Here is a 14399-nt window from a genome sequence, read left to right as displayed (position 1 = left end):
GGATAAACAGTTCCACATAGCAACCTTGGGAACAATTCCAATTAGGGAATAAGAAGAAAAACAAAACTATGGTTTTGGGCATATGAATATATACTCATTCGCCAAACACTTTTCAAAATGATAGGTTCGATCCTACTTCTAGGCCTTAGGGAATGATTAGTAGTCCAAAATCCATTCTTTCTATTAGATCACTTTCCAAACTGTTTTCCTGCCTGTCCCCCAACCAGGCTCCTGGTCAGGAGCTGTTTTATTTCCTTGTACTTCCATCGTTTAATATTGTGTCCGACACGTAGCTGGTGCTCAAATGGCTGAATGACTACCAAAATGCCCACCCACGAGGCGGGCCCCCAAACCTGGCACTGTAGGTCAAAAATTAAACAGATCGTGAAACGGCATGACAGCAGCCTGGCCCTGCTCTCTGCCTCCAGAAGCTGAGGGCAGGTTGGGAAAAGTGCACTATGCACCCCAGAACCTCCCGAAGTACTGGCAGAACAGAGTGGGCTGTCCGACCCGCACGGGCTGCCTCTGTCCTCCAGGCATAGAACACGATTCTTCTCGTTCTTTAGGGCAGAGGGGACTCGGCTACTGCCCTCTCCTCCAAGCCCAACCTTGAAACGACCCTTCCCCAAGCTGGCCGCGCAAACGCTCCACGACGAAGCCCAAGCCTGGGCGCCCGGAGCTTCCCAGAGGAAAGGCACCGCGGTGCGCTGTGGGAGTCGTAGTTCCCCGGTGAGTTCCGCACCCGGGCGGCCCTACGAACGGGACTCGCGCTCCCAGAACACATCGCGCGGGCGCCTCGCCCAGTCCTGCCACCTCACCTGTTCTATGGACGTGACTGTTTCCACCGAGTCGTCCTGCAACCGCTCTCGCGCGTGCTCGGGCCTCAGACTGTACAGCGGCTCTGACCAGACGGGGGAGGAAGATGGAGGGCAATAGTAGGTGAAAGAACTCGGAGAAGCCATGATCAGGAGAGCAGCAGACAGTGTGTAGGACTCTGCTTCGTTAAGCAACAACGCGCATTGAAACTCGAGCGGGCTAAAGCGCTACGGCGAGCGGATAGAGGCAAAAAGATTTTGAACGCGAATGTCTCCTCCCGCCTACCCGTCTTTCGAGTGAGTTACTGAGATGCTGCCGCCCCCCATTGGGCAGAGGAGCTGCTGCAAGAGCGTAGAGTCCTGAAGCGCAAGGGTGTCTACATCCGAATTTCATTTCAGCGAGATGGCGTAGGACGCCTCGGTTTGTTACGCAAATTGTTAAAGAACTGTAACATTCTGCTAATTCTCACTTAATTGTAATGCAATTGTTTGCAATTTCAGGTGCCCAAGAACCCAATGAATGTTAAGTTTGAAAGCATTTCTGACAGCTCTACTGATTTGCCTCAGTCAGGCAATTACTAAAAGAATTATTGTGCACCTTGGGGTACTTGACAGCCTCCCAGGAGAAGGCAGCAGCTGCTCAAACGTGCAAGGACGCCGTCTCAGTATCACTCAGTGATGGAGGGAGGGGGGTATTATGATTTTCTCCTGTCTCTTGGAGGTTACACTGCAGTAGCGAGAACTGAAATGCAGTACAAGGAACAAGGATAAGTGAAATAGACAGTCAGTCCGCAGATATTTATGGAACACCTGCTATGTGTCAGGCATTGTGCTAGGTTCTAGGAATACAAAAGTGAACAAAACGAAGTCCCTTCCCTTGGAAACCTTACATTCTAAGAAAATCGACAGAATTGAATGTATCCAACGCAATAAATATATGAAGACTTGTGATAAATGAGATGAAGGAAAATAACAGGGTCTATGAGAGAGACTAAAGGGGTAAGAAACTAATTGAATTGTATGGTCAGGCCAAGCCTCTCTAAATGACCTTTCATTTGAGATCCGAAGGATGACGAGGAGTCATCCAGAAGAACAGTATGGGAAAGAACTCCTGAAAAAGGAAGAAACAGCAGCTTTTAGAAGACATGTGCTGGGCACGGTGGCTCACGCCTGTAACCCCAGCACTTTGGGAGGCTGAGGCAGGAGGATCACTTGAGGAGTTAGAACATCCTGGGCAACATAGCAAGACCTCATCTCTATTAAATATCAAAAAAATTAGCCGGGCGTGGTGGCGCATGCCTGTAGTCCCAGCTGCTCGACAGGCTAAGGTGGGAGGATCTCTTGAGCCCAAGAAGTCGAGGCTGCAGTGAGCTATGATTGTGCCACTGCACTCCAGCCTGGGTGGCAGAGCGAGACCCTGTTTCAAAAAAAAAAAAAAAGCAAAACAAAAAAACAAACAAAAACCATAGGCTCAAGTGACCCTCCTGCCTCAGCCTCCTGAGTATCTGGAACTACAGATGCTCACCACCACGCCCAGCTAGAATAAAAGAAATTCTTATTGATTCTTATGGAGTGGACTTACTCATCACACTTGCCTCCAGAACAACCAAGTTTAAAGTTGTGATTTTTAGGAAAACGCTGCTACCTTTGGACAAGCAATAGAAGAGAATTTATTTTAGGGCATGCATCAAAAGTACTACACCAAAAATTATAATACCAAGAGATTAAACTGGGGGAGTTGTATGTAGGAGATTATAGAAGGTATGATAACAGACATTCCGGGTACACTTGGAGACAAGCTTTACTTCCTGCTCAGAGCACTTCACTCTGTTCCCACTCCATTCCATGTCACATGTCTAGGATCCAGGGATTATAGACCAGAGTGACATTTGACAACCAGCCATTCCCCTGTTCTCAGTCTCTGGTAGTAAATAGAAGCACTCACAAAAATTTCAAAGATGAGGCTGGGCTGGCCTAAAGACCTCAGGTGGATAAATACTACCACCATGTCCATTTTAGTGGTACTGTTGCTGAACTAAGACCTAGAGGCACCAGAATATTACCAAATCTGGAAATAAGGGGACAGTATGGGTTAGGACCCATGGATAAGGCTGCACAATGTGAAATGGTCTCATTATACTGCCCCCTGTATTGGCATCTTACTGTCTTTCCCTTAGTTATATTTTGGGAAATAAATGGTCTGATAAGGTCAGGGTTATATCTAAGGATTCAGCCTTTGTCACAAAGAGTTTCTTTGCAGGAGAGCTGGAAACTTAACGCTTCAATCCTGAAGACTGTGCTATTGAAAGAATAGCTGGGACAGTTTTGTGACAAATTGTTGCATCTGTCACAGATGCACCTAAAGCAATTGCAAACTGTATTTTAGAAATAAAAATTCATCTCTGAAATTCAGTCTCCTCTGCAGTGGGATCCAAAAGATGTGAATAGGAACATGGGCAAGAGTCTCCGGCAGGATAGTGTGTTCTCATTCAATTAATGTTTATTGAGTACAGGGTAAGTGCTGGGCACTGAGCTAAGTGCTAAGGAGACAGCAGTGAACAAGCCAGACACAGTCTCTGCCATTATGGGTCTCATGACTTACCAGAAAAAACATTAAACAGTAATGACAGAATTGACTCTTTCATGACAGTTGGGAGAAATGGGATGAGGCAGAAAGAAGCATGGAGTGTGTGAGCTTGCATGATGGGGGGACCCTAAGGTAGCCTGGAAGGTCTGGAAAGACTCCCATGAGGAAGTGAGTTAATTAATCCAGGGGATGAGAACATCCCAGGCAGAGGAAACCCAGTGACAACACCAAATCAAGTGAAACCAGCAATGAAAAATATGTGGGGTTTGTACTCCATGTAAGCATCAAGAAGACCTGGATCAAATAGCCCACTAGTTGTCCCTCCTCTTGGTTTAATAAAACCACTCATTCAAGAAGCAGAATGAACATAAATATTAATGGTGCTATAGAGAATGATATATTTAGAGAGAAAACTCTTAGTCATGATAATAGCAACTCCAGCTTGGACTGCAGATGGTTTATGTTTATTTTACTCACATGCCTGATACTCTTTTCTAAATTAAACTGATCGTGTTTCTTTAAAAATAATATTAAATGTGGACCGTGCTGTTTTATACTTTTAAGAGCAAGAAAAAGAAAAAAGTAATGGTCTAAATGAACCCCTAGAGGTCGCTTCCGACCCTGGAGTGCGTTTAGGGAGTAAGTTTTAAAACTGCTCTCACCGTTCTCCCTGTTTTCACTCATACAAGCCGTATGTCGGAATGAATTGTTTCCTTTAATATCTTGTGAAACTGTGTAGTAATACATATTGGAACATTTGGAAAATGGAAAGAACTCATCTATTATCCCGCTAGGTAATTAACTTCCTCCCCAAGTTTACTGCCCACCATCATCTGTGCCCTCCTACTCGGCGGTCCTGTCCCTCCTATTCCCCTAGATGGAATGACTGCCCCATCTCCTACCTAGGACCAGGTCATCTCCCTCCCCTCACGCGCCACCCCCCAAAGACTGTCGCAATTCTCCCTTTCCTTTCCTAAAACACCAAATTTTTCCTCTACTTGATCATCCAGATCTCCCTCAAGCATGCCATTTTCTCATTCTTGGCAGCGTGGAGGGTGAGGGGCTTTTTTTTTTTTTTTTTTTTTGAGACAGAGTCTCGCTCTGTCGCCCAGGCTGGAGTGCAGTGGCGCGATCTCGGCTCACTGCAACCTCCACCTCCCGGTTTCACGCCATTCTCCTGCCTCAGCCTCCCAAGTAGCTGGGACTACAGGCGCCCGCCACCACGCCCGGCTAATTTTTTTTTTTTTTTTTTTTTTTTTAGTAGAGACGGTGTTTCACCGTGTTAGCCAGGATGGTCTCGATCTCCTGACCTCGTGATCCGCCCGCCTCGGCCTCCCAAAGTCCTGGGATTACAGGCATGAGCCACCGCGCCTGGCTATGAGGGGGTGGGGGGGGGTGCATCTCTAACCCTCTTGATTCCACTCCTTCTCCAGCTACCTCCCGATGACTCATTGGCGGAGACCCTTGAAAGATTTGCTACTACTAACGTCTCCAGGTCCTCTCTTCCAACTCTCTCAAGCCCATTCTAATCAGGTTTTCCAATCGTTTCTTATCAACTCTCCATTAAATTCCATATCGCCAAATCCAAGGGCCAGGTCTCAGTCCTGATCTCAAGTCTTCCTTCTTGACTTCCCAGCAATATTTGCACAGTTGATCATTTCCCTTCTTGAAACACATTGTCCTTGTGGTGCCTCACACTGGTTTTCCTCCTTCCTTGCCTTTCTAATATCTTGGATACCTTAGCTTGGGGTACCCCAGGATTCAGTCCTCAGACTTCTTATCTGTCTGCACTAACTTCCCTGTCAGCTCAGGCAGTCTCAATGTTTTAAATAACACTTATAGGTTGAAAACTCCCTAATTTGTATCTCCAACCTGGATCTCTCCTGAACTCCAGAGTTCATGTCTAATGTCTATTTGCATTTCCACTTAGATCTCCAATAGGCATCTCAAACTTAACATATCCACAACAGAGCTGCTGGTCTTCCCTTCCAAACTTGTGCACTCAGTCTCCCCGATCTCTATTATGATAACTCCATCCTTCCAGTTACTCCAAATACCTTGGAATCATTCTTGCTGCCTCTCTTTTTCTCACTCCTTGTAAGTTCTGTTCTAAATATATCTAGCATCTGATCACTGCTTACCAATCCCACTGCCAGTGTCCTGGTCCAAGCCACCATCATCTGTTACTTGGATTCTTACACTAATCTCTTAACTGTTCTCCCTCTTTTCACTCTTGTCCCCCTGTACCCTAATACAAACTTGCTATAGACTGAATGTTTAGGTGCCCCCAGTAGTCATATGTTGAAACCTAATCCCCAATATGAAGGTGTTTGAAGGTGGAGCCTTTGGTAGGTGTTTGGGTCATGAGGGCCGAGCTGCCATAAATGGGATTCATGTCCTTATAAAAGAGACCCCACAGAGCTCCCTCACTCCTTCTGCCATATAAGGACACATAGAGAAGGCATCACCTATGAGCCAGGAAGCAGGCCCTCACCAGACACCGAATCTGCAGGTGCCTTGATGTTGGACTTTATTTCTGTTGTTGACAAGGTACCCAGTGTATGGGATTCTGTTCTAGCAGCCTCAAAGATCCAAGACAAAATGAAAAAGCCAGACTGAACTTTTAAAAATGTAAGCAAAGCCACCCCTTCACTCAAAGCTCTCTTCTCATCTCAAAGTCAAGGTGGCCTAGAGAACCCCATTCACCTCTCTGGCCCCTTCCCTTGCACTCTCCAGCTTGCTCACTGCCTTGACACTGGCCTCCCTGCTGTTCTGTGTACACCTCTCCTGCTGCAGCCTCAGAGCACTGATGCTTGTGTTGCCTCTCCCTGCAGAGCTCCGCCCCAGACATAGACACGGATTGCCCTCCCTTCTTATAGTTTTTACTCAAATTCTTTTTTTCTTTTTCTTTTTTTTATAATTTATTTTTTCTAAAAATTTTTATAGTGATGAGGTCTTCCTGTGTTCCCCGCGCTGGTCTCGAACTGCTAGAATCAAGCAGTCCTCCCACATCAGCCTCCCAAAGTGCTGGGATTACAGGCATGAGCCACCATGCCTGGCCCAAATTCTTTAATCTAACCCCAATTTCCCTTTTCTTGAGATCTTTCCTTCCTCCCCATGTAAAATGGGAGTGCCACCCCCTTTGGTAATAGCTTAATCTCACTCCCCTGCTTTATTTTTCTCATCACTAGATCAGAGACTTTATATTTTGTGTATTGATTTGTTTACTATCTGTCTTTCTCCACCAAAATGTAAGCTTTATGGGGCAGGGATTTTTTTTTTTTTTTTGGTCTGTTTTATTCATTGCTGTACTCCCTGACATAATAGACACTGAATAAGTTAAATGGTTCAAATGATTTCCAGTCATTGTAATGAACATTTGAGTGCTTGTTTGTGTAACATAATTGTAGATGATAATGACAATGAACATAATACTAGCCTTATCTTTCAAGAGCTCACTATCTAATAACTACAGAGACCATGTAAATAAAAATGAGTATAAAATAAAAGTATAAATATAAATAAATCTATTAAGTAGAAAAGATTAAAAATGAAAAATATATATAAATGATAAAAACATAAAATAAGACATAATACATATACACAGAATATATTCCCCAAGAATGTATTCTCTTACAGTGGGAATGTAGCTGAAGGAGTAATTCATTCTAATCTATTTAATGAAGATGGCCTTTTATGTATAATATTTGTGTTTAGTAACATTTGTAAGAGACTAGTCTGAAGTAATCATTTTTTAATAATTATATCGAAATTTAGAAATTGTGAAATGTATTTTAAAATGTTCTGTATTACACAAAATGGAATATAAAATGTTTCCAATCATAAAAAACAAAAGAATAGCTTTCTAAATGCAGTACAATGATTTCATGGCACAAAGAACAGCTGTGAGCTTCTCAGAAATCAATAAATCATCAATACTACATGGCTGCATTATTTTATTGTGTTGTATGTTGATATGAAATAAATTACATTATATATTATTAATCATTACATATACTCTATTACTGAAAACCTGTGCAAAAGTATTGACTCACAGTCCTGTTTTGGGTTTATCATGGTGAATATTTTACCAGCAGATACAAAATGGAAGCCAACTAAACAACATTGTTCACCTTGAAAACTCTAAGAAATGATTTTTTATTTGGCTGGGTGTGGTGGCGCATGCCTGTAATCCCAGCACTTTGGGAGGCCGAGGCGGGTGGATCACGAGGTCAAGAGATCGAGACTATCCTGGCTAACATGGTGAAACCCTGTCTCTACTAAAAATACAAAAATTAGCTGGGCATGTTGGTGTGCTCCTGTAGTCCCAGCTACTCCGGAGGCTGAGGCAGGAGAATCACTTGCACCTGGGAGGTGGAGGTTGCAGTGAGCCAAAATCACACCACTGCACTCCAGCCTGGTGACAGAGCAAGAGTCTGTCTAAAAAAAAAAAAAAGTTTTTTTTAAACTGTTGAGAGGCAATGCCAGAGGTGTACACTGTAAGGCATACCAGTGACTCTCAAGCCTGGCTGTGCACTGGGATCATTGGTGGAGCCTTCGAAAATCCAGATTCTCCCAGGCACCAGCCCAACCAACTAAATCAGAATCTGTGGGGCTGGGGCCCAGGCACATGCATTTTGTCAAAGCTCCACAAGTGATGCTGACTCACAGCTAGGGTTGGAGCCACTTTGAAGCTTCTTTGTATGTGGTAGAAACATGAGCTGTCCACCAGAGACTGGCTCCCCTTCCACAGGGAGAGTTGCAGCTGGGAAGTGGCTGCTCAGCAGTCTCCTTTGCATTTAGGCAGAGGCTTGTGAGTGGGTGCTGGCCAATAAAAAGTGGAAGATGTGATATCCACTACACCTAGACCTGACCCTTTAAAACCTTTCATGCGATCCTCTATTTGCTCGCTTCCCCTCTCTGCCAGGTGAAAGTCAATGCCTGGGGTAGCCCTCCATTGTGCGGAAAAGCAAGAGAGATCAGATTGTTACTGTGTCTGTGTAGAAATAAGTAGACATAGGAGACTCCATTTTGTTATGTACTAAGAAAAATTCTTCTGCCTTGAGATTCTGTTAATCTATAACCTTACCCCCAACCCCGTGCTCTCTGAAACATGTGCTGTGTCAACTCAGAGTTAAATGGATTAAGGGTGGTGCAAGATGTGCTTTGTTAAACAGATGCTTGAAGGCAGCATGCTCCTTAAGAGTCATCACCACTCCCTAATCTCAAGTACCCAGGGACACAAACACTGCGGAAGGCCGCAGGGACCTCTGCATAGGAAAGCCAGGTATTGTCCAAGGTTTCTCCCCATGTGATAGTCTGAAATATGGCCTCGTGGGAAGGGAAAGACCTGACCGTCCCCCAGCCCGACACCCGTAAAGGGTCTGTGCTGAGGAGGATTAGTAAAAGAGGAAGGAATGCCTCTTGCAGTTGAGACAAGAGGAAGGCATCTGTCTCCTGCCTGTCCCTGGGCAATGGAATGTCTCGGTATAAAACCCGATTGTATGCTCCATCTACTGAGATAGGGAAAAACCGCCTTAGGGCTGGAGGTGGGACCTGCGGGCAGCAATACTGCTTTGTAAAGCATTGAGATATTTATGTGTATGCATATCTAAAAGCACAGCACTTAATCCTTTACATTGTCTATGATGCAAAGACCTTTGTTCACGTGTTTGTCTGCTGACCCTCTCCCCACAATTGTCTTGTGACCCTGACACATCCCCCTCTTCGAGAAACACCCACAGATGATCAATAAATACTAAGGGAACTCAGAGGCTGGCGGGATCCTCCATATGCTGAACGCTGGTTCCCCGGGTCCCCTTATTTCTTTCTCTATACTTTGTCTCTGTGTCTTTTTCTTTTCCAAATCTCTCGTCCCACCTTACGAGAAACACCCACAGGTGTGTAGGGGCAACCCACCCCTACACTCCATAATCAAAAGAACGTCATGCCACATGTTCTAGAAGTTAAAAACCTCAATTAACAAAGAGGTCTCTTTCAGTGTTTCACTCCACTGGACAAACGGTATCCCTTTGTAGATTCAAAATAATTTTCTGGACAGATTTAGTGACATCTTTCCAATGTATATTATTACTACTCCTTTCAAACAATCTTTTTCAAGTCTGCTAATTTAGAACTACAGGGTCAACTCTCCCCTGTCCTGTTGACAGAGCCCTTCTTCCCCTGCTGTCTACAAGGCAGTCTTAGAGGGGTCTTAAGTGTATAGTTAGGTAAAAAAGGAGACCCTATAAGTCCTGATATGTGAGAGACCTGGGGTATGGCGTCTCTTTGTCTTTGGTTGGCAGGCACTCTCTCTGATCCTTCCTGCAAGGCAGATCTTATAAAGAACAATGTCGGCCGGGCGCGGTGGCTCACGCCTGTAATCCCAGCACTTTGGGAGGCTGAGGCGGGCGGATCACAAGGTCAGGAGATCGAGACCATCCTGGCTAACAGGGTGAAACCCCGTCTCTACTAAAAATACAAAAAAATTAGCCGGACATGGTGGCGGACGCCTGTAGTTCCAGCTACTCAGGAGGCTGAGGCAGGAGAATGGTGTGAACCCGAGAGGCGGAACTTGCAGTGAGCTGAGATCGCACCACTGCACTCCAGCCTGGGTGACAGAGTGAGACTCCGTCTCAAAAAAAAAAAAAAAGAGATTAGGACATTGATAGGCACAGGTGGAACACCATGTGAACGTGAAGACAGCCATCTACAGCCAAGGAGATCCCTCATGAGAAACCAACCCTGCTGACACCTTCATCTCATACTTCTGACTGCCACAATTGTGGGAAATAAATTCCTGGTGTTTTTGTGTGTGTTTTTGTTTGTTTGTTTGTTTTAAGACGGAGTCTTGTTCTGTTGCCCAGGCTGGAGTGCAATGGCGTGATCTTGGCTCACTGCAACCTCCGCCTCCTGGGCTCAAGCGATTCTCCTGTCTCATCCTTCCAAGTAGCTGGGATTACAGGCATGGGCCACCATGCCTGGCTAATTTTTGTATTTTTAGTAGAGACGGGGTTTCACCATGTTGGCCAGGCTGGTCTCGAACTCTTGACCTCATGACCTGCCCGCCTTGGGCTCCCTAAGTGCTGGGATTACAGGCGTGAGCCACCACGCCCAGCCAAATTCCTGTTGTTTAAGCCACCCAGTCTCTGGTACTTTGTTATGGCATCCCTAGAAAACTGATGCAGTCATGAAGGTGGTGGCCAGGACACTAAGGACAACCTGAAATGGTACTGTGGGTCATTTTGTGTCAACATCAATTACCATCAGAATTGTTTCCTGTGGTTCCCAGCCCTCAAATGCACGTGTCTCTGATAATTTGCCTCCTCCCCTCTTTCCTTGTCATTTGAGTATCTTTCCTCCATTCTCTATTTAGTCAGGGGAAAACAAAGAAAAAGCATGTGAATGGAGGACAGTACTGAGACCGTGGTAGAGGGGATGTGTCCTGTTTCTTTCAATCACGAGGTAAGGAGGAAATCCTTCTGCACCGCGGGCACATCACTAACAGTCCCCCAGAGTAGGAAACACAGGGTAAGTCTAGAAGAGGCGGGTGTTTCACTAACGGGGAGCCCCATGGTCCAGCCGCGTTGAGTCTTGGTGATGGACTGCCTATTGGTGCAACTCTCCAGCTGTTCAGCTGTTGCTATGGCAGGTCCCACAGTGGTGCCTTTGGGTGCATGCTCAGTGTGGCTGGGGTGGGGATGGGGTGGATGGGGGCAGGCACTTGTCTCCCTGGTTGAAGAATCAGTATCACATAATTGAGAGACTGATTCTAGGAGGATTCTAGTGGAAAAGATGTTCAGCAACCATTCCTCAGATGTCTCCCAGTTCTACTGAAATGTGCCCCAGTCCAAGTTGACCACAAATGGGGAGGATGCCAAAATGTTCCACTGAGTGACTGAGGTAAGGGGATGGAATTTAGGTATTTCATTTACAAAGACCGGGTTAAAGTGAACTTTGTTGTCTCCACTAGTCTATATGTTTTTTTTTTTTATTTTTTTTTGAGACAGAATCTCATTCTGTCGCCCAGGCTGGAGTGCAGTGGTGCAATCTCAGCTCACTACAACCTCTGCTTCCTGGGTTCAAGGGATTCTCCTGCCTCAGCCTCCGGAGTAGCTGGGATTACAGGCGTGCGCCACCATGCTGGCGAATTTTTGTATCTTTAGTAGAGATGGAGTTTTGCCATGTTGGCCAGGCTGTTCTTGGACTCCTGACCTCAGGTAAGCCACCCACCTTGGCTTCCCAAAGTGCTGGCATGAGCTACCGCGCCTGGCCATCTATATGATTCTTTTGCTAACATTGTCCCAAAATCTTAGGTCCTCCATCTCACAAAACACACACACAGACATATAGACACACACACACATAGACACACAGAGAGATCTGTATGATGGCTCTGAAAGTGGCTGAACACAGATGAGGATGAGGATGAATATTTGAAGCTTGGGTTTTGGTTTCTAAACTATTCCCCATCTCTTTTTTTTTTTTTTTTTTTTTTTTTGAGACAGTCTTGCTTGCTCTGTTGCCCAGGCTGGAGTGCAGTGGTGTGATCTCAGCTCACTGCAATCTCCACCTCCCAGGTTCAAGTGAGTCTCCTGCCTCAGCCTCCTGAGTAGCTGGGATTACAGGCACGTGCCACCACGCCCAGCTAATTTTTGTATTTTTAGTACAGACAGGGTTCCATGTTGGTCAGGCTGGTCTCGAACTCCTGACCTTGTGATCTGCCCACCTTGGCCTTTCAAAGTGCTGGGATTATAGGCGTGAGCCACCGCGCCCGGCCTTTTCTTTTCTTTTTTTTTTGAGACAGAGTCTTGCTCCGTCGCCCAGGCTGGAGTGCAGTGGCACGATCTCGGCTCACTGCAACCTCCACTTCCTGGGTTCAAGCGATTCTCCTGGCTCAGCCTCCCGAGTAGCTGGGATAACAGGCGCCCACCACTAGGCCTGGCTAATTTTTGTATTTCCAGTAGAGATGGGGTTTCACCATGTTGGCCAGGCTGGTCTCAAACTCCTGACCTCAGGTGATCCATCTACCTTGGCCTCCCAAAGTGCTGGGATTACAGGCATGAACCACCTCGCCTGGTCTTTTTTTTTTTCTAAAGCAATGTAAGCTACTGAATTTGAGGTCAGTCCAGTATGACTACATACACTCCTTTTTTTTTTTTTTTTTTTTTTTTTTTTTGAGACAGAGTTTCACTCTTGTCGCCCAGGTTGGAGTGCAATGGCAGGATCTTGGCTCACTGCAACCTTTGCTTCCCGGGTTCAAGCGATTCTCCTGCCTCAGCCTCCGGAGTAGCTGGGATTACAGGCGTGCGCCACCATGCCCAGCTAATTTTTGCATTATTAGTGGAGATGGGGTTTTACCCTGTTGGCCAGGCTGGTCTCGAACTCCTGACCTCAGGTGATCTGACCACCTCGGCCTCCCAAAGTGCTGGGATTACAGGGGTTAGCCACCGCGCCCAGCCATTTTTTTTTTTTTCTAAAGCAATGTAAGCTACTGAATTTGAGGTCAGTCCAGTATGACTACATATGCTCAATTTTTTATGAGTATGAACATTTATTTCTCTGGATTCCTTCAGCAAACCTCATTCCCTTTCCTGTCTTGCCTAGGGAAAGCCATTTCTTTCAAAATGAAGTGAGGAATCCACGTCAGCTTGCATTTTCTTTCCTGTTTTCTCAGACAGAAGCAAGCAGAGAGCCACTAAAGGTCCCAGTGAGGAGGCCTGCAGAGAGCTATTTACCATTACAGTGCCGATCAATGGGAAGGCAGCTGCGGTGCCCAAAGGGGGTCAGGCTGGGTTGGATCTGCGCTCGGTACTCTGGTGGTCGTGGGAGGAAAATCACAGCAGGTTGGGCCTCGGTTCCTAGAAAACATCCCTGGCCATATTCATCTGTGGGATATTCTTACCACCCGGGATGCACAGGGGAAACATTACAGGGTGTTTTCTGCACCTCTGCTTTATTGAGTGCTGGGTCAAGTGTTATGCTGTCCTTTCTTTTTTTTTCTTTTTTCTGACGGAGTCTCGCTCTGTCACCCATGCTGGAGTGCAGTGGCGTGATCTCGGCTTACTGCAAGCTCCGCCTCCCGGGTTCACGCCATTCTCCTGCCTCAGCCTCCCAAGTAGCTGGGACTACAGGCGCCCGCCACCACGCCGGGCTAATTTTTTGTATTTTTAGTAGAGACGGGGTTTCACCATGTTAGCCAGGATGGTCTCCTGACCTCGTGATCCGCCCGCCTCGGCCTCCCAAAGTGCTGGGATTACAGGCGTGAGCTACCGCGACGGCCTGTCCTTTCCATGCATTATCTTATTTCATCTTTCCAGCAATCCTGTAAGGTAGTCACTCTAAATATCCTATTTTGAGATGAGGAAACTGAGTCACAGGGGGGTTCAGTAATGTGCTCAAGATTGCACAGCTGGTGAGTGGTGACACTGGGACTGGAACCCAAGTGTGCCTTACTCCAGAGCCCTTGGCATGCACCTGAAACCCCATGTAAGCCCACTGTGGAGACGCGCACCTCGAAATAATGGAATCCACTACATCAGTTCCTTTAGCTTTCTGTGTAATCAGAGTAGCTAGCAGGCTCGGGATTTCGCCCCCCGGCTTTTTTTTTTTTTTTTTTTTGAGACAGAGTTTTGCTCTTGTTGCCCAGGCTGGAGTGCAATGGCGCAATCTCGGCTCACCGCAACCTTCGCCTCTCAGGTTCAAGCAATTCTCCTGCCTCAGCCTCCCGAGTAGCTGGGATTACAGGCACCGGCCACCACGCCCAGCTAATTTTTTTATATTTTTAGTAGAGATGGGGTTTCACCATGTTGGCCAGGCTGGTCTTGAACTTTTCCCCTCTTATTATAATTCAGACACTTAACCTGAAATATACCTTTTCAAATGAAGTAAATGGGCTTACCACTTTCCTTGACCTACTATTGAAAAATACATTCTCCATCCAATATTCAGCCTGAAAACAGGTATGTACATATATACTTTTCATTGCTTTTTTTTTT

The 14399-nt window shown here is 46.0% G+C and overlaps 2 protein-coding genes and 1 long non-coding RNA gene across 4 annotated transcripts in view, besides 2 other annotated features; 1 reads left to right on the top strand and 2 right to left on the bottom strand.

Moving 5' to 3' along the window:
- FNTB (farnesyltransferase, CAAX box, subunit beta) overlaps positions 1–1021 on the bottom strand; it is a 75756-nt gene extending 74735 nt beyond the window's left edge. Inside the window, exon 1 of the mRNA NM_002028.4 lies at positions 819–1021. Within this exon, the coding sequence (NP_002019.1) occupies positions 819–962 (144 nt within the window). The 5' untranslated portion in view covers positions 963–1021. The remainder of the gene's footprint in view (positions 1–818) is intronic.
- CHURC1-FNTB (CHURC1-FNTB readthrough) overlaps positions 1–14399 on the bottom strand; it is a 148295-nt gene that overhangs the window by 74740 nt on the left and 59156 nt on the right. The gene's annotated exons all lie outside the window — the stretch shown is intronic.
- Positions 803–2377, top strand: LOC107984655 (uncharacterized). The gene is made up of 2 exons (XR_001750792.2): positions 803–1236; positions 1317–2377. It is a non-coding gene; the product is annotated as an uncharacterized LOC107984655 (long non-coding RNA).
- Positions 5892–6393: an enhancer, noted in NCBI's record as "H3K4me1 hESC enhancer chr14:65448241-65448742 (GRCh37/hg19 assembly coordinates)". NCBI's record gives its function as "activates a minimal SCP1, AML or CMV promoter by ChIP-STARR-seq in primed H9 embryonic stem cells {active_cell/tissue: H9 hESC(primed)}" and the evidence as "EXISTENCE:reporter gene assay evidence [ECO:0000049][PMID:30033119]".
- Positions 12466–13243: an enhancer, noted in NCBI's record as "OCT4-NANOG-H3K27ac-H3K4me1 hESC enhancer chr14:65441391-65442168 (GRCh37/hg19 assembly coordinates)". NCBI's record gives its function as "activates a minimal SCP1, AML or CMV promoter by ChIP-STARR-seq in naive H9 embryonic stem cells {active_cell/tissue: H9 hESC(naive)}" and the evidence as "EXISTENCE:reporter gene assay evidence [ECO:0000049][PMID:30033119]".

This window comes from Homo sapiens, chromosome 14, assembly GCF_000001405.40.
Source record: "Homo sapiens chromosome 14, GRCh38.p14 Primary Assembly".
NCBI classification, from domain to species: Eukaryota; Metazoa; Chordata; class Mammalia; order Primates; family Hominidae; genus Homo; species Homo sapiens.
Note: the sequence above shows the minus strand (reverse complement) of the source record. Positions and strands in the feature narration are given on the sequence as shown.